Raw genomic sequence first — 23022 nt, 5'->3', positions numbered from 1 at the left:
TAATTAGCTGGGTGTGATGGCGCGTGCTGTAGTCCCAGCTAACTGAGCTGATTGGGGGGCTGAGTTGGGAAGGATTGCTTGAGCCTGGGAGGTCAAGGCTGCAGTAAGGTATGATTGTACCACTGAACTCCAGTCTGAGTGACAGAGTCAGACCCTTGGCTAGAAAGAATCTGGGGTGGGACAGAGGAATGAAAGAGTGAGGTGGCTAATCTGATAGTAGATCAGAGATTGCTTGACCCTGGAGCCAGCCTATTTTCAGAAGGTGCTGTTAAGAAGGAGTTGTATGCTAGCTCAGGCTAAGGATGGGTCAAATTCTGGGATCTAGGAGAAGGAGATAATCTTAACCAAAGTTTGATTAACAAGAACTTTGTTCAGATTTAGATTCCATGGTCACAAGCAGTTCAGCTAGTCATTTACGAGGCAGAGAATAGGAATTTAGAGGATCTTTGTCTGGCCTTGTCAAAGGTGAAAGAAACCAAATATCTCCCCTGAAAATATTTCTCCTGGGTATGATGAATATTTTAAATTAAAGGCCCTTAAAGATCAACAGAGAGCTAGAAAAGTCTTTTCCCCTATGTACATAAAGACCCCACAGATCTGCTAAGGAGCACAATTATTTTTCTTTTCTCTCCCTGTTACCTCATTATCCACTAGGGGGAAAAAATCATGAAGATGCAGAGTAAAAAGGAAAAAAAAAGAGAGAGAGAGAGAAAGAGAGAGAAAAAAAAAGCATCAATTAAGACCTTATGAATGTAACCACCCTGAATGAACCCTTTCACAAGATAGTATCTTCTTTCAGGCTCACTGAATTCCCAAACAGAAACATTTACAAGTTAATCTCTGTTTCCTCATCCATTCACTCTCCCTGGTAATCCTTTATTCCTTCTCCCAGAATTACCCATAATCCTCAGTTCCCCCTCCCCTCTGAAATAAGGGTATGTAAGCTTCTGCACCCCACTGGGGAGTTGGGGTAATCACTCTGTGATTCTCTCCCCCTCATCTCTGTACACGTTAATAAATTTGTATGCCTTTTTTCTTAATCTGACTTTGGTCAGTTTTCCCTTGGCCCTAACAAAGGTAAAAAGGAGACGCATCTGTGCATCTTATCTAAGTCATATGGAAAAGTGTATTTCTTGGCAATAAAGTGATATTGGGAACACAGAGAGTGGGGGGATATCTTTAACCATGGCTATTTTCCAGGATCACAGGGCCCAGGTAAAATTCAACATTGTCAGCACTTACCTTAGAGTTTTATTTATTTATTTATTTATTTATTTATTTATTTATTTTTAATTACCTTTTAGTTTAGAGATGGGGGCCTCACCATGTTACCCAGGCTGCTCTCAAACTCCTAGACTCAAGTGACCCGCCTTGGCTTCCCAAGTGCTGGGATTACAGGTGTGGCCACCACACCCAGACAATCTAAGAGTTTTCAATGGTGATCTTGATAGCGGCAGGAGGCAGTCAAATGCCGAGGCAGATGGGGGTGGGACCCTGGTGAAACCCGACCTTCAAGCTGAAGACGGTTTAAAGTCTGAAAACCAAGCTATAGGTCAGAGATAAACCCATGGACTGGATTGAGAACCTCTCTTCCCATTTGGGGCACTTTCCTCTGATTGATCCCCACCCTTCACCTATTTTACATATACCTACTCTTCCCTAATTGTTTTTTTGCATGGTCTTGCCCATCTTTGAGTGGTGCCTTTTTTTAAATCCTTTTTTGCATACTCACAACCCAATCAGCATGCACTCTCCCATTCTGAGCCACACTGGCAAACTACCTGCCTCCTGGTGGGGGACCACCCGCCTTGAGTCAGCTCTCCACTGAGAGCTTGTTCCATGGCTCAGTAAAACTCTTCTCCTCCCTTCTCATCCTCTGGTTGTCTGCGTAACCTCATTCTTCTTGGATGCAGGACAAAAACTCGAGACCTGCCAAACAGCAGTGACAAAGGAGCTACTGTAACACTGTAACTCTCCACCCTCCGCTGGTGTCCAGCAGCCCCATGCAACGGGAAGCAGTGGCAGGGCCAGGCCAGCCCCAGTGCCGCAAGCCAGAGTGGGGCAGCAGGACTGAAAGAGCTATAGCACAAATAGGCTGAAATACTGCCTTGCTCCCCATTCACCGTGCTGTGAGCAGCAGGAAGGAAAGAAGAGCTACAACCCTTCTGGGGGCCTAGACTTTGGGGCTCCCTGAGCCAAAACTGCAGCATGCTGTAACACCCACTTTGGGGCTTCAGGGTTGCTGGCATCTCCAAGATTTTTGGCCACCACCACATTCCCCTCATCCAGACGCCGGCACCCAAAGCAGAAGCAGGTTGCGGCATGACCCGTCCAGCTGCAGGCTGAGAACGGAACCCATGGTGAGTGCGGGATCCGGGCTGGAGCACAAGCCAAGCACAGCCCACTGAGTCGAGTAGGCGGGGTACCTCCAGCAGCAAGCCCAGAGCCCAGCAAGGCCCAGGCAAGGGTGTCGCTGGCTGTGGAGGTCCCTGGCTGGCGAAGCAGCACCAAAAATTCCTGCATCGATCTTATTTAATTCTTTCACCATATCTACTTGTGTAAGTACAGTGATCAAGGGAGTGCTAACAAGACAAACGTGGGCAGGTTATTTAATGATATTTTCCTCTAGTAAAAGGGGATTAATAATAGTTCTGGCCTCAGGATTGTTGTGAGAGCTCGAAAACTTCATACGCACAAAGTGCTTAAAACAGACCTGGGATGTACTAAGTATTCAATAAATGATCCCAGGAAGAGAATCTTATTTTTCCCAATTTACAAACGAAGTTCCTGAGGCACAAGGAGGGCAAATAATTTACCCAAGTAAAGATTAAAACTCACCCAGATTATAGGCTTTTATCTACAGTCTTCCCTCCTGCACTTCCCAAGCAGGGAGAAATTAATGGATAAATCGAAGCTAGGCATGGTGGCTTGCACCTGTAATTCCAGCTACTCAGGAGGCTGAGGTGGGAGACTCTTGAGTGCAAGAGTTTGAGGCCAGCCTGAGCAATATAGTGAGACCCCATCTATTAACCATAAAAGTGGGCAGATAAAGTGGAAGAAATGTTAGACAAAGACTTGATAGGTTTTCCAGAGTTACTGCATACAAAAAAAAAAAACGAATCTTTTTTTTTTTTTTTTTAATACAGGGTCTGGCTCTGTCGCCCAGACTGAAGTGCAATGTCCTGATCTGGGCTCACTACAACCTCTGCCTCCCAGGCTCAAGCAGTCCTCCCACCTCAGCCTCCTGAGTAGGTGATACCACAGACATGTGCCACCACACCCAGCCAATTTTTGTATTTTTGGTAGAAATGGGGATTTGCCATGTTGCCCAGGCTGGTCTCAAACTCCTGAGCTGAAGCAATTCACCTGCCTTGGCTTCCCAGTGTTGGGATTACAGGCATGAACCACCACACCAAGCCCAAATCACTTTTTTTATTTTTCTCAAAACATAAAGATTCTTGAGGAAGTCAGAGTAAGAAAACATTCTTATTTCCATCGACCTGAAATAACCAAAAGGATCAGAATTCAGTTTTAATGAGTTTATTTGAGTAAAACGCTGGAAGTTACCATCCAGGAAACACAGACTCCAGAGAAATGGGGTCAATGCTCTCAAGTTACGATCTTGCTTATATAGGCAGAACACAAAGAAATTTAGTGGGATTATAACATTCTCTAAATAAGGCTGGCTTATGAACTATACCAATTTAATGAGTTACAATGTGTTTTCTGTACAGCCTGTTTTCTTTTCTTTACAGCTTGTTTACATTTTCTTTCCAATTAAAAGAGTGTATTTGACATTCCATCCTAAACAGTGTGATAGGAAGTCTGTGTGACACAGTGAAGAGGAAAATTGGGGAATTAATAGGCCCAGTGCTCAGAAAACGGTTAGTAAATGACTGTTTGGGAATGTGAAGGGTGGAACTGCACAGAAACAAAGATTGTCTTATTATCCAGATAAGGTTCCCCAGGCAATCTCTAGGACTTCTCTAAGAAGAATAGATGAAAAGTCTGTCTGGGAGTAATGAGGACTCCTAGTCTCTTCTCTTCTCTGGGTGGTTGATCTTGCCTGGTTATTTGATGAGATTTTTAGGGAGGGGTCTTAAGACAACTGCATGTCATTTGGAAAGAAGCTTTCTTAGTCAGATAAGGAAATTCCAGAGAGAATCTCCACTTGAGAGGGGGACAAGGCAAGTTTAGAAAGGCTTTGATTATAAGGCAGCTCCTAAGGCTTCTTAGCATGTCAGAGTGCCAGTCTTTCAGGTATTGCTTTCTGAGCCCCAACAAAGCTTACGTGTCATTCAAGAGTAAGCAGCAATTTTTTACAGCCTAAACAACAACAAAATCTTTTTTAGGGAGAGGTATTTTATCACTAACATTTTCAGAATTGCCAGTGTATGGTTGGGTTTTATTATGGTTTTAAAATTCTTTATGGAAAATGTACCTAATTATTGCCTGCACCAAGAGCAGACCATTTCCACTGCCTCGGTCTTTCTTAACTGGTATATGGTCAAATACACAAAGGTCCTTCTTTTAGAATGATACATGTTGAAGTATTTAAGCATGAAGTTTCACAATGTCTACAACTTAATCTCCAATGGCTAAGACACACACACACACACACACACACACACACACACACACACAGCACATAGAAATTGATAGGGAAAATACAGACACTTCTCACCATATGATAGGAATGAGTCCCAATAAACCCACCCGAAATCAAAAATGCATTTAATGCACAGCCCTTTCAACATCATAGCTTACCCTAGCCTCCCCTAAACACTTATATTAGCCTATGGTCAGGCAAAATAACCTAACGCAAAGCCTATTTTAAAATAAAGTGTTATTCATTTATTAGAATCGCAGAGTACAAAAATAAATATAAAAATAATATTAAATAAAGTATTGCTGGGTTCAGTGGCTCTCATGCCTGTTATCCCAGCTACTCAGGAGGCTGAGGCAGTTCAAGGAGTTCAAGGCTGCCATGCACCAAGATTGTGCCACTGCACTCCAGCCTGGATGACAGAGCAGAGTTCTAATAGAACTTCAGGACCAGGCCTGATACTATGTCCTGCAGAAATGCCTCTGCAGGGAACAGAGGTGGAGAAATTGTAGGTTCAGTATTTTAAATGGACACCTGTAACCCAACTCCCAAACCTCATCCTCTTCAAAGTCTACATATAAGTAAGTTGAGAGTCTACCGTGAATTGAGATAGTCACATTACTTACTGCTCTCAGTAATGTCTGCCTCACTATGGAGCCAAGTTAGATTAGGAGAGTTTTACTAGAAGGAAATCGGAGAGCACACACACACACACCCCCGCAGACACACACAGCCCTTCACGCTCATCTTGGTTTTCTTTTACCTCTCTGCCTTTGGCAGGAAAAGCTTCAATAACACCTCCTGTTTTGTTGTTGTTGGTTTTTTTTTTTTTTTTTTTTTTTTTTTTTTTGAGACAGAGTCTCGTTCTGTCCTCAGGCTGGAGTGCAGCGGCATGATCTTGGCCTCACTGCAACCTCCATCTCCTGGGTTCAAACAATTCTCATGTCTCAGCCACCTGAGTAGCTGGGATTACAGGCACGCGCCACCACGCCCAGCTAATTTTTTTTTTGCATTTTTAGTAGAGACAGAGTTTTGCCATGTTGGCCAGGCTGGTCTCGAACTCCTGGCCTCAAGTGATCCACCCACCTTGGCCTCCCAAAGTGCTGGCAATTACAGGAGTGAGCCACTGGGCCCAGCCACACCTCCTGTTTTTAACCCACACTGCTTTTGATGAGACAATTCAGGAAATCCATACATTTACCTCTTTGTCTGCTTTATCATAAGGGGGATATTTCCCAAGTCCTGAAGTTTTTATTTAAGTCATGAGAATAAAATAGCATTGAAAATATTTTATTATCTTCCCATTAAACATGTTACTTAAAAGAAAAAACTTTCTAGAAATAAAGACTTATTAAGAGTCAAGTCGCCCTTCTAAATGACATATGCAGGAGGCTGGAGAGCTAGGTCAAGGATCTCTTTCAATTGCATTTGATCAATTACTTTCTTTGTTCTGCTAGCTGCAAGTAATTGTCCATACTAGCCATTTGGTTAGAATGTCTTTACAGAACAAATGGCACTCTTTCATATATTCTTTTCCTTATGTTCTATTTGAAGACTATAATCAATTCTAAGCAACAACGACCTTTGTAAATTCAGGCCTCCTCTCAACCCCTGAGCTAGGCCTGGGACCCCACTTCTGATTCTTTGAATTTGCTGGTAACTTCCATTAGTCCTGAATGACATAAACCACTACAGCCCACCTCAATTCTATCCCATGCCCTAATCTACTTCATCTCTTTTGCCCCAGACTAGTTTTCACAGCTTCCTGTTCATTTGTTCATTCCACCCTGGGTCTCTAGGAGACGAAAGAAATCTACCTGATCTTACCTCTTTCCCTCTTTCCCTCTACAACATGCTATGAACAGGGGCCTTGGAGTCCCAAAACCTGAGTGCAAAATTTTAACACTTATTAGTTACTTCACTAGTATAATAATAATACTGTCCTTGTAGAGTTATTGTGAGGGTTAAATTAGTTAATACATCTAAAGCATGTAAAATAGTGCTATTCAAAGGATATTCTTTGAACCTACACAGTCCAAAAATTGCTTGCTACTAGCCTGCAACTAGATAGGTATAAAAGTACAGAACATTTACAAATGAACTAATCCAATCTTCACTGGATCGATAAATTTATAAATCAAGAAAAAAGTTCATTGGGTGTATTAAAATCTTTAAATGTTGATATATACAGCATTTATTCAAAGTGTACATAAAGGGCTAGGCATCGTGGCTCACACCTGTAATTCCAGCATTTTGAGAAGCCGAGGTGGGAGGATTACTTGAGGTCAGGAGTTCGAGACCAGGCTGGCCAACATGGTGAAACCCTGTCTCTACTAAAAATACAAAAAATTAGCTGGACATGCTGGCACATGCCTGTAGTCCCAGCTACTCAGGAGGCTGAGGCAGGAGAATTGCTTGAACCTAGGAGGCGGAGGTTGCAGTGAGCTGAGATTGTGCCACTGTACTCCAGCCTGGGCGACAGAGTGAGACTCTGTCTCAAAACAAAAAAACAAAAACAAAAAAACAAAATATACATAAAGGCCCTTAAAGCGGGGAATCATTATTTCACTCACAACTTTTTGAGAAGTTATGATTGTTAAATAATATGTAGAAGTTATTAGTATAATTTTCTATGTTAAACACTTTATATCCACATCCACTTTCAATGGACAACAAATACAAGTTTTGTAGTTGTTTTTCTTTTTTTTATGTCATTTTCTAGGAATTAAGTTTTTTATTTTTTTATTTGTTAAATATTTATTGAAGTGTTTGTAGTAATTTATAACCAATAACTAATTTGTACAGTGATTTCAATTTTAAGGTTTTTTTTAAAATTTTCATTTGTCACTGTAAAAGCTCATAGGAAGTAACTTTTAAAGTACTTTGCAGAAATATTGATCTGTGGCAAATTGGAAATTCAAGAAAAAAGGTAATCATTTACCACAGAGAGTTTGAGAAGCACTGACTTATTACAGAGCTCTGCCTGGCACATCATAATATGAAACACATTAAAAAGTGCAGCCAAATAGGAAGTGTTCAGTGAATACTCACTATTACTACTTTCATTTGATAGATGAAGAACCTTAGGCAGAGAGGAGTTCAGGAACTTACCCATGTCCTGTGTCCATGATCCTGGTCCACTGAGGCACACTGCGTCGGACCTAGAAGTACCTGCCTGCCTACCCTGGATAAACTGATAGAAGGAGTTTTCCTTATTGAGACAGGGGACCCTGCAGAAAATCCGGGACAAAAAACAGAAGCAAAACACATATCGCAGAGTGTCCCCAAGGTGCTGATGTTGCCATCAAGAGCCGGATGAAATGGAATTGCCCAGAAAGCACCTGCAGGTGCATTGCCCAAGCAATAGTCACAACCCTAAGTAATAACCACCCAGAAGTTGGCAGTGGAGGCCAATGAGGCACCTAGCAACCCAGCAGCAAAGAAACATTATCCAGAAGCCAGGAGATCTACTGGGGACCCCGGCTTCCGCACAAAGCCATAAGGTCAAATAAGCTATACCCTTTCCAAATTCTACACAATCTTAGAGAAACAACAAAAGATAAGCTGTTTGAGGGACTGAGCACTTTTGGCTAACAGAAATTGAACCCCACTAAAAGGGAATAAACTTAGGTTGAATTAGAGATGTAATTGTCTCCTAGTATCCCCTAAGGGAAAGGGCTCAAGAGAAAGTTCCAATCACAGAGGAAAAAACTCCTTTTCATTGTACCTCTGAGTTGTGAGACGAGTTGAGTTTTTCTGTCACTACAAGCACATTGGGAGAAAACTAGAGAATGAATTAAGGAACCTGTGAATCTCATGCTTCATGATTCCTTTTTTCCAACTCCTTCCCTCCAAGCCCCTTTGAGAGCAGAACTTGCAGTGCCTCATGTCTGCTGGCCTTGGAGCAGTGTCAGTCAACGCTTCCCAGCCCATTAACCAAACTTGAGGACAAGGGAAGTTAAGTGCCGCAGCCCACAGGGGAGCATGTAAGTGGATTCAGATTCCCCAGGGAGCATAACACCTTAAGGACTGTGCTTGCAATGGCTGGGGAGACAATGAGACAGGCGGGCAGTGATTCTTCCAGAGACTAATGAGGTTTTTCCTGGCGGAAGCACGTCTCTGCCTACACCGCACTAATGCAGCATTAATGGAGAAAGGAGAGGAAATGCGAGCATTTTCTTCTGTGGAGGACAGATCTTGTGTTATGTCTTTTTGTTTCCTTGTTTTATTGTAAGGTTTTTAACCTTTTTTATAAGTTAAACAAATTTTAGTATTACATGTTATATATACCTGTATATTTGAAAGAGAAATGTAATAACAGCTTTAATGTTTATACCTATAAAATAAATGAAAACATTTCGAAAAACCCAATGAATTCCTTAACAGTTTTAAAAGTAAGAGGCTTTTGTAAAGTTTCCCTGCGTTGTTTGTAGTGGTTACATGACTGCATATGTTCATCAAAACTCATTGAACTAGGCCGGGGGTGGTGGCTCACGCCTGTAATCCCAGCACTTTGGGAGGCCAAGGAGGGCAGATCACCTGAGGTCAGGAGTTTGAGACCAGCCTGGTCAACACGGTGAAACCCCGTCTCTACTAAAAACACAAAAATTAGCTGGGTGTGGTGGTGGGTGCCTGTAATCTCAGCTACTCTGGAGGCTGAGGCATGAGAATCACTTGAACCCGGGAGGCGGAGGTTGCAGTGAGGCAAGATCTCACCATGTCACTGTACTCCAGCCTGGGCAACAGAGTGAGACTCTGTCTCAAAAAAAATAAATAAATAAAGATATCACTACACACCTATTAGAATGTCAAAAAAAAAAAAAACACCAAAAACCAAAAAACAAAACAAAACAACAACAAAAAAAACACCTCATTGAACTATATATATGTTCAAAAGGCCTAAATTCTCAGCATGTTAATTATTCTTCAATTTGAAAAAATAATTTCTTAAATCCCAAAAGAAGTTTTAAGGAAACATGTGAATATTATAATAGACTTTTTGGAAATAACTTCAAACTTATAGAAAAGTTCCAAGAATAGTAGAAAAAACCTTATTTTTTTCCTAAACTTATTTGAGAGTAAAATGCCTATTTTGCTCAATCTCACCTCGTGTTATTCAGAAAGAAAGGAAGAGAAGGGAAGGGGATGAAGGGGAGGGGAGGAGAGGGGAGGCAGGGGAGGGGATGAAAAGGAGGGGATGAAGGGGAGGGGATGGAAGGGAGGGAATGAAGAGGAGGGGTAATGAAGAGGAAGGAGAATGAAGGGGAGGGGATGGAGGCGAGGGGATGAAGGGGAAGGGGAATGAAGGAGGGGATGGAGGGGAGGGGATGAGGGGAGGGGGAATGAAGGGGAGGGGGAATGAAGGGGAGGGGAGGAGCTGGAGGGGATGAAACGGAAGGAGATGAAGAGGAAGAGGAATGAAGGGGAGGGGAGGGGAGGAGATGGAGGGGAGAGGATGAAGGGGAGGGGATGGAGAGGGAATGAAGGGGAGGGGAGGGGATGGAGGGGATGAAGGAGAAGAGGGATGAAGGGGAGGGGAAGAGGGGGGGTGAGGATGGAGGGGAGGGGATGGGGGGAGGGGATGAAGGGGATGGGATGAAGGGGAGGGAAGGGGAGGAGATGAAGGGGAGGGGATGGAGAGGGGATGAAGGGGAGGGGATGGAGAGGAGATGAAGGGGAGGGGATGGAGAGGGGATGAAGGGGAGGGGAGGAAAAGGAGGGGTGGGTGTCAGGGCTGGTTTCTTCCTGGAGGCTCTAAGAGAGTCCATTTTCTTGCCTTTTCTGGCTTCTAGAGGCGATTTGCATTCCTTAGCTTGTGACTCTTTCTTCCATTTTCAAAGCCAGCAATAATGGGTCCAGTCCTTCTCACGTCACATCACTCTTATGTCCTTTTGTGCCTTCCTCTTCCACAGGTAATCCAAGATAATGTCCCCATTTCAAGATTTTTAGCTTAATCACATCTGCAAAGTTCCTATTTCCATGTAAAGTAATATATTCATGAATTCCAGGAATTAGGATCTGAACATTTTTAGGGACTCATTATTCTGCTGGTGTTTTGTTTGGTTTTTGTGTTTTTTTGCAACTATCTGACTCTGTCCCCCAGGCTGGAGTGCAGTGGCGCGATCTCGGTTCATTGCCACCTCTGCCTCCCAGGTTCAAGCAATCCTCCCACCTCAGCCTCTTGAGTATTCTCACCATGCTCAGCTAATTTTATTTTTGGTTTGCAGGTAGAGATGGGGTTTCACCATGTTGCCCAGGCTGGTCTCAAACTCCTGGGCCTCCCAAAGTGCTAGAATTACCGGTGTGAGCCACCGTGTCTGGCCCACCATTCTGCTGTTAAATCAGCCACGGCGCCTGGGCAACTATTCTGCTGTTTAGCCTAAAGTTGCCTTCTTCCTTATTTTAAGTTCAGCCTAAACGTTTCGCTGTACATAGTGAACTACAATGAACTACAACCTAAATGGAAGTGCAAACAGACTGTAACCTACTCTTGTGCCAATCACCAAGTTTTGGCCAATCTAAGGGGGCTAACTGATCAAATCATGTTCAGATAAGGTAGACACCAAGCTGTAATCTATCCAGCTGTTTCTGTCCCTCCGTTTTCTGCATGCCACTTTCCTTTTACTGTCTATAAATCTTCTACCCTGGAATCTTCCTGAACCTATTCTGGCTCAGGAGGCTGCCCTATTCATAAGTCACTTTTTACTCCATTAAACTCTATTAAATTTAATGTGGTGAAGGTTCTTATTTTAACATTGCCTACCACAAAAAGGAAGGATGGATGAAAGGAAAGGAGGGAAAAAAGGAAGGAAGAAAAAGTCTTACCCAAATGTTGATATATGGGTTTTTATGGTCTTACTAAATCATCCAGCGCATACCTAGAATTCATCTCCCCCTCCACAGCTCACTGAAGCATCTCTACAGGCTCAGCCCACACAGCTGCACAGCCCTGGAGTTTCTGTCCATCTGAATACAACACTTTGATGACTTCAACTTGTCTGCATTCTTCATGAGTCTGAGACAAATTTGTTACAATCTTTCTTAGGCAACTGAATTATCTTCATCATGATTATGGCAGAATAACCACAACATGAGGAGCTAGGACTGCCCAAGTGGAGTTTGAAGCGCGGTCCTTGCACCAGCAATCCACTGGGGCAAATGCCCAAAGTGCAGGTCACCTATCCCAGCCCATGATGACTGAATCAGAAAACCTGCAGACTCCACAAGCCTAGATTTTTCCGACGCACACTGAAGTTTGAGAAACACTGGTTTCAAAACATTACCTAATAGGAAAAGTTGTGGAGTATTTTCTTGGAAAGAGAATGACTTTTAAATTTCAAGAAATAAGTGACAATTAGAGGCTAAAGCCCAGGAGGAGGGAAAATAAGCCCTATTTCCAGTTCTAGCAAAGATAATTTTTTAGTGGCTTAGGTAAGAAGCTGTGCCCTGATTGTAGCCACCAGCTTAGAGAAATGAGCACTGATAAGTGCTAGGAAACGTTAGGCATATGAAATTCAAATGTGCTAACAAAAGTAAAATGTGTTCCCTTTAGAATTTGTGGACTAGAATGTATGTAGCAGACTTTATTCCAAATCAACAGATTAAATATACCAATGTGAACACCACCTTATATATTAAATAATTAACTTTAAAATTTTAAATTAATATTCCATCAAGGTATCTGCATTTCTCACATAAAACAGTAGCTCTCTAACTTCAAAGAGTGGAAGAAATTACTTAAGAAGCTTGTTAAAACATATATATTCTAGACTCCCTCTCCTCCATTGATTTTTTTAGGTCAGAGATCAGCCTAGGATTTTAATGAGAATTCCAGGTGATTTAGAAATGGTGTTATAAAGGCTAATCTTTGAAAAACAAACACTTATGAAGAAGAGTCTGACCTCTGCCCAATCACTCTCTCTTCCCCCACCAAAAAAAAAAAAAAAAAAAAAAACCCTCAAGACAACTTATTCAAGCAAACTTCCCAGTTAGCTGCACATTGAATTAATACTCAGTGACTAATTTAATATCACATACCCATTTCCAGAGCCATGAACACAGTAACAATTGTAACTTCCCAGAGTTGAATTTTTTTGAAAGTAATTATTTATTACAAGAAGCTTAATAGTAAATTAGCTTAGGGTGGTACTCTGGTTCTGTGATGTCTGAGTACACGCATGTAAATCAAATGCATTAATATATTAAATTTCAGTCTCCTGGATTTCTGCGTATGGGATAATGTAAGGGGAATAGATGTTGGTCATGCTTTTTGGTTACTCAATAGTTTTTGAGCTCTGTTCCTACTGTAAAGGTAAAGAACGTACCATCCCAAAATATGCAAAATTGGTATATTGATTATTTCAAGTTGAAAACATTAAAGAAATTGTAGTTTCAGAGAGAGCTAGCTGACTGTGTCTTCCTGCAGGCAGCAAGCCATGAAGGGGTACACTTCTTATACCAGGGTGAGAAAATAGCTCTTATCACCAGACTGGGAACTGGGCACTGCAATAGACCTGAATAAATATACTTATAGAAATAATCCTTATCTTCCACTAGTTTCACACACACCCACACTCACATATTTTGTAGTGACTTCCCTGGAAATTTGCTGCTCCAGGCCAGGCGCAGTGGCTCATGCCTGTAATCCCAGCACTCTGGGAGGCTGAGGTGGGTGGATCACAAGGTCAGGAGTTCAAGACCAGTCTGATCAACATGGTGAAACCCCGTCCCTACTGAAAATACAAAATTAGCAGGGCATGGTGGTGCGTGCCTGTAATCACAGCTACTCGGGAGGCTGAGGCAGGAGAATCACTTGAACCCAGGAGGCGGAGGTTGCAGTGAGCCGAGGTCGTGTCACTGCACACCAGCCTGGGTGACAGAGCGAGACTCTGTCTCAAGAAAAAAAAAAAAAAAAGAAATTTGCTGCTCCTAGCCAGACCCCCTTTGTTCTGTCATTGCTTCTCAAATTTATCATTCTTCGTCTAAAAAGTATAAAAGCATTTTTCTTTGACCACTTCTTCAGACTTCACTCTCTTGTGAAAATCTCCATCTATAATTGCCTGACAGGTTCTTCCTGCCCACTGCACAGACAAAACCAATTCACGAAGACCATAATATTGCTGTAGAGAAAGAGTTTTATCATTGCAGAGCTAGCCAAGAATGACTAGAGTTATTAATATTACTCAAATCAGTCTCCTTGAGAACTCAGAGGATAGGGTTTTTAGGGCTAATTTGGTGGGCAGCGGGCTAGGGAACCAGTGCCACTGATTGGCTGGAAATGAAATCATAGGGGTGTGGAAAATGATTCTCCTGTGTGGAGTCAGCCTTTGGGTGAGGGCCACAGGACTGGCTGAGTCATGAGTCCCAGGTCCGGCTGGGGTCAGTTGGCTACCAGAATGCGAAAGTCTGAAAAAAATCTCAAAAGATCAATCTTAGGTTCTACAATAGTGATGTTATCTATAGGAGCAATTGGGGAAGTCTTGAATCTTGTGACCTCTGGCCACTTGACTCTCAAGCAGTAATGGATTACAGAAACTGTTCCTACCAGAATCCTAGCAGAATTCAGGCTCCTCCCATAATCCTAATTTCATGGCCTTTCATTAGTTTACAAAGGTGGCTTTGGTTCCTAAGCAAGTAGGGAGTTAGTTTTAGGGAGGGACTATTATCATCCTTGCCTCAAAGTTAAGCTATAAACTAAATTCCTCCCATGGCTAGCTTGGCCTACACCCGGGAATGAGTTAGAACAGTCAGCCTGTGAGCCTAGAAACAAAACAGAGTCAACTTTGCTAGACTTCTCTCGCTGTCATAATTTTTGCAAAGGTGGTTTCCACATACATGTAAAGCTAATAAAATTTACGTGCTTTTCTCTTGTTAATCTGCCTGGTATTAATTTGATTTCTAGACCCAGCTAAAAAGCCCACTAAGACCTAAAAGGGATCCCCTAAACTACATTTGGGGAATTTCCCCCATTATTCATCTTCTCTTCAAGATGGAAGCCTTCCACCAACTTCCCTTAAAACTAGTGCACAAGGAGCATTATTTTCACTGGGAAGAAGAAGGTACTGGGCGAGTCCAGTCAGCAGAGAGATGCGGCTGGATCATGATGGAGATGCCAGCTTTCATAGGCAGCATTGGCAAAGACGTGAAGGCAGAGAGAGTTGCCAAATGCAACACAGAGTATCTTTGGTCTTTGGCAAGCACCATTTGAATTGTGTGGTGAGAGCTGAAGTCAGAATATCAGGGACACAGAATACACTGGAATAGAAAAGATGTTGGTACTTTTAGGTTTATAGGTAGAAAGCAATTAGGGAAGAAGTTGATGATATATAGGGGATAACTGTTGAATCAGGTATGGGAGCAGATGAAAATAATAGCATTACTTTTTGTATACTTTATATAAGGCCCACTGATTGCTATTACTGATTCAATGAAAGAGGTATGTATTTGTCCATTCTCACATTGCTATAAAGAACTGCTCAAGACTGGTTAATTTATATAGAAAAGAGGTTTGATTGACTCACAGTTACGCATGGCTGGGGAGGCCTCAGGAAACTTACAATCATGGTGGAAGGCAAAGGGGAAGCAAGGCACATCTTACGTGGTGGCAGGAGGAAGAGAGAACAAAGAGGAAGTACTCTACACTTTCAAACAACCATCTCTCGTGAGAACTAACTCACTATAACAAGAACAGCAAGGGAGAAATCCACCCGCATGATCCAATCGCCTCCCACCTGGCCCTTCCTCCAACACTAGGAATTACAATTCCACCTGAGATTTGGGTAGGGACACAGAGCAAAACCATATCAAGGTTTTATTCACATTTTATGGGTAAGTAAAGAGGTTCAGAGAAATTAAATGGTGGGTTATCCAACTAAGAAGAGACAGAATAGCAACTCAACTGGCTCCAAAGCTCATTACCTTGGTTCTATATCAGAGGATCGAGAGGTCCAGTAGAATGGTTGGACTTAAAAGGAGGGAGAAGACCTCATTTACTGGAGGGAAGGAGGGAAACACTAATACAAGTTTCTAGATTTAATGAAGTAGGAGGAAAGCAAACAGTCAGCTGATAGTGCAGGGAGTAGACGAAAAGTGAAGTGACATTTGAAAATATAAAGTTATGTGCTTTCTATAGGCTCTTAGGGAAATTCAATCTTGGGGAGACGTAGGTATCTGAAGAACGTAGTGACAGTTACTGAGGGACTTGAGGGACTAGATAAGGAAACTACATATAGAGATAAATTATGGTGCAGCTGAAGCTGGAGATAACAAATTGGAAGTAGCTCCAGTTCTTAAAATTCTAGACTGTTTTCTCTAACAGTGCTCAGTCTCTTAACTGTAGAATTTGGAGAAACATTCAGCATTTGTTCAATGAATCAAGCAGGACATGGATGCATGGAAATTGGGATTACTGGAAAAAGAGGTTTATAAGTGATTGGCCATGGAAATTAAGGCTTATTGAGGAAGAGAAACAAAAGGGGGACAGGGCAGGAGACAATCAGGGGTGGAAGGTTGGGGAACAAAGGAATTAAAAGACCAGACATGGCAGAGGACTTTTGATATGGTTTGGCTGTGTCCCCACCCAAATTTCATCTTGAATTGTAGCTCCTATAATCCCCACATCATGGGAGGAACCCTGTGGGAGGTAATTGAATCATGGGGGTGGTTACCTTTATGCTGTTCTCATGATAGTGAGTGAGTTTTCACAAGATCTAATGGTTTTATAAGAGGCTTTTCCATCTTTTGCTCATTTTTCTTCTTCCTGCTGCCATGTGAAGAAGGACGTGTTTGCTTCCCCTTCCACCATGATTCTTAAGTGTCTTGAGGCTTCCCCAGCCCTGCGGAACTGTGAGTCAATTAAACCTCTTTGCTTTATAAATTACTCAGTCTCCGATGTTTATTCATAGCAGCATGAGAATGGACTAATACAACTTTTTAAAATTTTAATTTCCAATTTTTTTTAGAGACAGGATCTCTGTTGCCCAGGCTGGAGTGCAGAGGTGCAATCATAGCTCACTATACCCTGGAACTCCTAGGCTCAACCAATCCCCCCACCTCAGTGGCCTGAGAAGCTGGGACTACAGGCGGGAGCCACCAGGCCCAGCTGTGGCAGAGGAGTTTCAACCCTGTTTGCTCAAAATTAATCTTGAAACAAAGACAGAAGAAGTTGTCCATCTTTGGACCAGAAATCTGACCACAGTAATTCAGTGAAGTTGGCTTTTATTTCTGTCATACAAAAATGCAGAATTAGGCAGTCCAGGTAGATTCAGTGCATCCACCACATTATCAATAATCCAAACTCTTTCTATCATCCTGTTCTCCACTAACCTGTGGTTTTCATTTTCATGGTCACCTTGTAGTTGCAAGATGGCTGCCGGATTGCCTTCTAAGCAAAAAGAGGAAGAAAGGCAAAGAAGGGCAAATAAAGGGCAAAAATTTATTCCATTTAGTAAGCTTTCCAAGAAACACTACCCAGGGACTTCCACTCCTATCTCACTGGCCAAATCTATCTCACGGGTGCTCCTAGGGCACACTGTCTTCCTCAACTAAATCTGAGTGCAAGAAGAAGTTAGTGGAGCAATAAGCAGTCTGACATGCCAGGAGACATTTGTAACCCCAAACCACAATCTCTGAAGATTGCCAACAAAAAGAGTCAAACTCTGTAAAATATTTGAAGAGACTTATTCTGAGCCAAATATGAGTGACCCTGGCCCAAAACACAGCCCCCAGAGATCTTAAGAACATGTACCCAAGGTAGTCAGGCTACAGCTTGATTTTATACATCTTAGGGAGACATAAGACATCAATCAATACATGTAAGATGTACATTGGTTCAGTATGGAAAGAGAGGACAATGCCAGATGAGGGCTTGCAGGCTATATATGATTTAAAGATTTTCTGATTGGCAATTGGTTGAAAGAGTTATTATCTAAAAACCTGGAATCAATAGAAATGAGTGTCTGGATTACGATAAGGGGTTGTGGAGACCAAGGTCCTTCTTATGTATAATAGACAAAGCCTCCAGGTAGCAGGCTTCAGAGAGAATAGATGGCAAAATTTTCTTTTAAGATTTAAAAAGGTGCCAGACTCTTAATTAATTCTCTCTGGGATTAAAGACTTGGAAAGGGAAGGGGATTCTCTGTAGAATGTAGATTTTCCCTTATCAGACAGTTCTGCAGGGCCATCTGAAAATATGTCAAAGAAATATATATTTTTAGGGTAAAATAATCTCTTTCAGGGCCTGCTGTCATGTTGGTATCTTATTGCTAGAAAAACTGTTTTGTCAGTCGTTAAGGTCTCTGTTTTAATGTTAATGCAGGTCAGTTGTGCCTGAATTCCAAAGGGAGGTGGGTACAATCAGGCATGTCTGAACTGCCTTCCCATTATGGCCTGAACTCGTTTTTTAGGTTAACTTTGGAAGGCCCTTGGCTGAGAGGAGGGGTCCATTCAGTTGATTGGGGGGCTTAGAATTTTATTTTTGGTTTATAAGATGGAAAGTGAATGGGGTATCAGAAAATGATGCAATAGACAGAGTGAAGGTCAAATTTAAGCACCTGCAAATGGCAGGAGGGGTAACAACAACTAGCAAGGCTATTTGCCCTCAAGGCATGCTTACAATATGAAAGAGACCAAAATATCAATAAACAAACTTAAAAGAAATAAAAATGCAGCATGCTGAATAAAACTTCAATGTGATTAAAATGAATGCTCTAAGGAAATAAATCCAATCCAAGTAACCAAAACAGGATACATTGATATATAAACAGAAACACTGAAAACTTAAAAAAGAAATACAGGTGAAAAAATTTAAAAACACAATAGAAGAATAAATGGGAAGAGAAAGTTAAGAAAATATCCCTTAAAATAGAACACCTAAATAATAGAAGGCCCATTAAGGAGAGAACAAGGTAGGGAAGGAAACCACCAAAGACTAAATACAAAAGTATTTAGAACTGAAAGATCCAGGTCTCCAGAATGAAGACTGCTCACCACGACGGAAGGCAAAAGACTGACACAGTCATGAAATTTTAGAATATTAGGCCCAAGAAAAGACATCTAAATCTTTCAGAGAAAAAAAATGACTGGTGGCATACAAAGGTATGAAAATAAAAACGGCTTCCTCATAAAAACACAGGAAGGCAGAGGAAAATGGGGGCAATTTCTTCCAAATGTTAAGAAAAAAAGTCATTGTGTTGCCAAGGCTGGTCTTGAACTCCTAGCCTCAAGCAATCCTCCTCCTTCAGCCTCCCAAAGTTCTGGGATTATAGGCATGAGCCACTGTACCCAGCCACAAAGAAAACATTTTACTGTATTATTTATTTATTTTTCAAACAGGGTCTTGCGCCCAGGCTGGAGTACAGAGGCATGATCTCAGCTCATTGCCACCTCCACCTCCTGGTTCCAAGCAATCCTCTCACCTCAGTCTCCTGAATAGCTGGGACTACAGGTGCATGCTACCATGCCCGGCTAATTTTTTATATTTTTGGTAGAGACGGGGTTTTGCCATGTTGCCCAGGCTGGTCTCGAACTCCTGAGCTCATGCAATTTGCCCACCGTGGCCTCCCAAGGTGCTGGGATTACAGAAGTGAACCATTACACCCAGCCAAAGAAAACATTTTTTATTTTTTATTTTTGAGACAGGGTCTCACTCTGTCACCCAGGCTGGAGTGAAGTGGCACAATCTCGGCTCACTGCAACTTCTGCCTCCTAGGTCCAAGCGATTCTCCTGCCTCAGCCTCCCAAGTAGCTGGGGTTACAGACATGCGCCACCATGGCCTGGCTAATTTTTATATTTTGCGTAGAGACGAGGAATCACCACGTTGGCCAGGCTGGTCTTGAACTCCTGGCCTCAAGTGATCCACCCACTTTGGTCTCCCAAAGTGCTGGGATTACAGACACGAGCCACCATGCCTGGCCTAAAGAAAACATTTTAAAAGAAAAGAATGATTATTAACTCCAATAACTCATACAGAAAAGTACTTTAAAAAAAAGTAATCATAGAATACAATACTACGTGGCTTATTAGAGCATAATATTTATGGTCATAATAACAAAGGCACCTAATATGGATTTCACAAAAAATTGAGATATGACATCATAAGGATGGAGGGAAGAAATAGATTGTGAAATAAATTCCTCATTTTCTGAAACAGGAAGTCAAGAGAGGGGTTCTAAGAGTAATGAAAAAAGAGACAGCAACAATCAGGCATAGTGGCTCACTCCTGCAATCTCAACTATGTTGGGGGCTGAAGTGGGAAGATCATTTGAGGCCAGGAGTTCAAGACTAGCCTGGGCAACGCAGTGAGATCCCATCTCTATAAATAAAAAGTCAAAAAAATTAGCCAGGCATGGTGGTATATACCTGTAGTCCCAGCTACTTGGGAGGCTGAGGCAGGAGGACTGCTTGAGCTAAGGAGTTTGACGCTGCAGTGAGCTATGAGCCACCACACTGTGGCCTGGGCATCGCTATTAAAAATAATGAGATTGCAATAGTATTTAGAAATAGGAAAAGAGATATACACTGGTGTGTCTGAAAGTGGTTGCCTCAGCAAGAGGAAGAGAGATGGAGGTCAAAAGGACAAAAAGTTGGTTTCCTTATAAGCCTTTTTTCCCTATTTTTTATTTTTTATTTTTTTTTTAGGCAGAACAGAATAAGGACAGTCAGAGTGGGAATGACGGCCTTCTATTCAAAGTGTGTTTCTCAACATCAACTGGGAGCTTGTTAATACAGTGTCTCCAATCCAGCCCAGACCTACAGAATCAGCCTGCATTTTAACGCCATCTCCTGGTGATTCATATGGCCATTGTAATTTGAGAAGCATTTGTCTAGTAGTCACAGTGCAGGGGGCCTGAGATAAGGTGCAGGTGTCTATCGCTGTAGTAAAGGTGAGGAACTGAAGCAAGATTCATGAAGTACACAAGATTCTGAACTCAGCCCATCATTTGAGGTAACTTCACCCTTTACCCTTATACCTTCTTAACATCACTGCTGTATTTCTGGCAAGCCTTAATCTTGTTTCTCAAATTTCCTGCCCTGGTCATCACTTTTTTCACCATCTGGTTTGAGTTTTACCTCTCTACTTCGCAAAATCTATCTTTACAGATTTTGTCACGTGGCAGTTGCAGGTATTATTGTTCTCAAATTGTTCCTGTTTATTTAATTATCAAGACCATATAACTCACAATAGACTAGATGCTCAAGAAAGCTTAGCAATTGGGTTCTTTCAAATCTTCAAGTTATATGCCAGAACTGATGCATGAAGAACTGTAAGCAGATCAGTCTCCACTGTCCAGGAAAGGGAGGAAAACAAAATTACAGATAAGAACTTAGATGGCGTAAACCCACAATTATAGTAGCTCTTAGAGAGTGGTCCTGGGTGTGGTAGCTCTCACCTGTAATCACAGCACTTTGTGGGGCTGAGGCAGCAAGACTGCTTGAACCCACGAGTTTGAGACCAGCCTGGGCAACATAGTAGGAACCTCATCTCTACAAAAAATAAAACAAAAAAAAAATTAGCCAAGTGTGGTGGCATGCACCTGTAGTCCCAGCTACACGGGAGGCTGCCGTGGGAGGACCACTTGAATCCGGGAGTTTAAAGCAGCAGTGCGCCCTGACTGTGCCACTGCTCTCCAGCTTTGGTGACAGAGCAAGACCCTGTCTCAAAAAAAAAAAAAAAAAAAACCCCACACAAGAACCCTCCCATCAAGACAGTGGCCCTCTAATGATTCCACTAGAAGTGAGGACTAAGCTAAGTAGGTGTTAGTTAGATCAAGAGAAACCTTTGATTTCCAGTCCCACTAAACTATGTCTTTATTACACTTTTTTATCCCAAGTTTTGAAAGATTTATAAAGCTTCTCTAAATGTTGAGTCTGGTTTAAGTATAAAATTAAGTTTCTTTCAGACACATAAAAATTACAACTCTATCACAAAAGTTAATTTTAAAGCTGTTCAGAAGCAAGGCTTAATTATAAAGTTTCAAAAGAAAAGCCCTCTATGATTAAAGATCTTAGCTCCTTTATTAAAGTGAAAATTAATCTATGCAAATTAGCTTCTCTTTGAAGTGACCCTTGTGTATTAGTCAGGGTTCTCCAGAGAGACAGAATAGGATATATGTATATATGAAAGGAAATTTAGTAAGAATTGACTCACACAAGCACACGGTGAAGTCCCACGATAGGCTGTCTGCAAGCTAAGGAGCAAGGAAGCCAGTAGTGGTTCAGTCCGAGTCCAAGCCTCAAAAGCAGGGAAGCCGACAGTGCCATCTCCAGTCAATGGCCAAAGGCCAGAAGGCCCCTGGCAAACCACGGGTATAAGTCCAAGAGTCCAAAAGCTGAAGAACCTGGAGTCTGATGTCCAAGGGCAGGAATCATCCAGCACAGGAGAAAGATGAAAGCCAGAAGACTCAGCAAGCCAACTTAATCCCACTTTCTTCCACCCGCTTTGTTCTAGCTGCACTGGCAGCCGACTGGATGGTGCCCACGCACACAGAGGGTGTGTCTGCCTCTCCCAGGCCACTGACTCAAATGTCAATCTCTCTGGCAACACCCTCACAGACACACCCAGAAACAATAAAGGCATCCTTTAATCCAATCAAGTTGACACTTAGTATTAACCATCACACCTTGCAAACAAGCTATTTGAGATTATAGCACTGACAAGATGTTGCTTTTTAGGCTGGGCGTGGTGGCTCACACCTGTAATCCCAGCACTTTGGGAGACTGAGGCAGGTGGGTCTCTTTTATCCAGGAGTTTGATACCAGCCTGGGCAACATGATGAAACCATCTCTATAGAAAATACAAACATCAGCCAGGCATGGTGGCACATGTCTTTAGTCCCACCTACTTGGGAGGCTGAGGTTGCAGTGAGCCGAGATCATGGCACCACACTCCAGCCTGGGGGACAAAGGATCTTGTCTCAAAAAAAATTAAAAAAAAGATGTTACTTTTAAAATATCATTCTAACAAGGAGGAATTAGTATTTATCCACATAAGAAATTATTTACTTTGTGCTGTCCTTTCAATCACCATTTATTGGTAGAAGATTTTGAAAATGATCCCTTATGAGAAAATAGGGAATTTGTAAACCAAGTGATTCTATGGTCCAGAACAGTCTGCCATAAACAGATATTTCTCTGAAGATTCACGTTTTATCTTAAACATTTGTGCAAATCTACTCTGTAATAGATCCATGGTAGTTTTTGTTTGAAAAGGTGTCCATCCAACATTAAGTAAAAATGACACTCCCAAAAGTGTTTATCCTCTGAGAAGCCAGCACCCAGCTCACACCCAGTTTATGAATAGCATTATGATGCTGCAGACCTACCCCGTCTCCATCCACCCTGCATTATATTTGCTGTAAAACTGTAAAGATAAATACTGAACCACATTATCTGTCTCAGGCATGTATGTGTACATGTG

The 23022-nt window shown here is 42.1% G+C and overlaps 3 annotated features.

Annotated features, from left to right (window-relative positions):
- Positions 1749-2248: an enhancer, noted in NCBI's record as "H3K4me1 hESC enhancer chr5:33488993-33489492 (GRCh37/hg19 assembly coordinates)". NCBI's record gives its function as "activates a minimal SCP1, AML or CMV promoter by ChIP-STARR-seq in naive H9 embryonic stem cells {active_cell/tissue: H9 hESC(naive)}" and the evidence as "EXISTENCE:reporter gene assay evidence [ECO:0000049][PMID:30033119]".
- Positions 2249-2750: an enhancer, noted in NCBI's record as "H3K4me1 hESC enhancer chr5:33488491-33488992 (GRCh37/hg19 assembly coordinates)". NCBI's record gives its function as "activates a minimal SCP1, AML or CMV promoter by ChIP-STARR-seq in naive H9 embryonic stem cells {active_cell/tissue: H9 hESC(naive)}" and the evidence as "EXISTENCE:reporter gene assay evidence [ECO:0000049][PMID:30033119]".
- Positions 8217-8907: an enhancer, noted in NCBI's record as "NANOG hESC enhancer chr5:33482334-33483024 (GRCh37/hg19 assembly coordinates)". NCBI's record gives its function as "activates a minimal SCP1, AML or CMV promoter by ChIP-STARR-seq in naive and primed H9 embryonic stem cells {active_cell/tissue: H9 hESC(naive and primed)}" and the evidence as "EXISTENCE:reporter gene assay evidence [ECO:0000049][PMID:30033119]".

The sequence above is a fragment of the Homo sapiens genome, chromosome 5 (assembly GCF_000001405.40).
Source record: "Homo sapiens chromosome 5, GRCh38.p14 Primary Assembly".
Classification (NCBI taxonomy): Eukaryota; Metazoa; Chordata; class Mammalia; order Primates; family Hominidae; genus Homo; species Homo sapiens.
The sequence above is the reverse complement of the archived record's forward strand: the minus strand, read 5'-3'. Positions and strand labels throughout refer to the sequence as shown.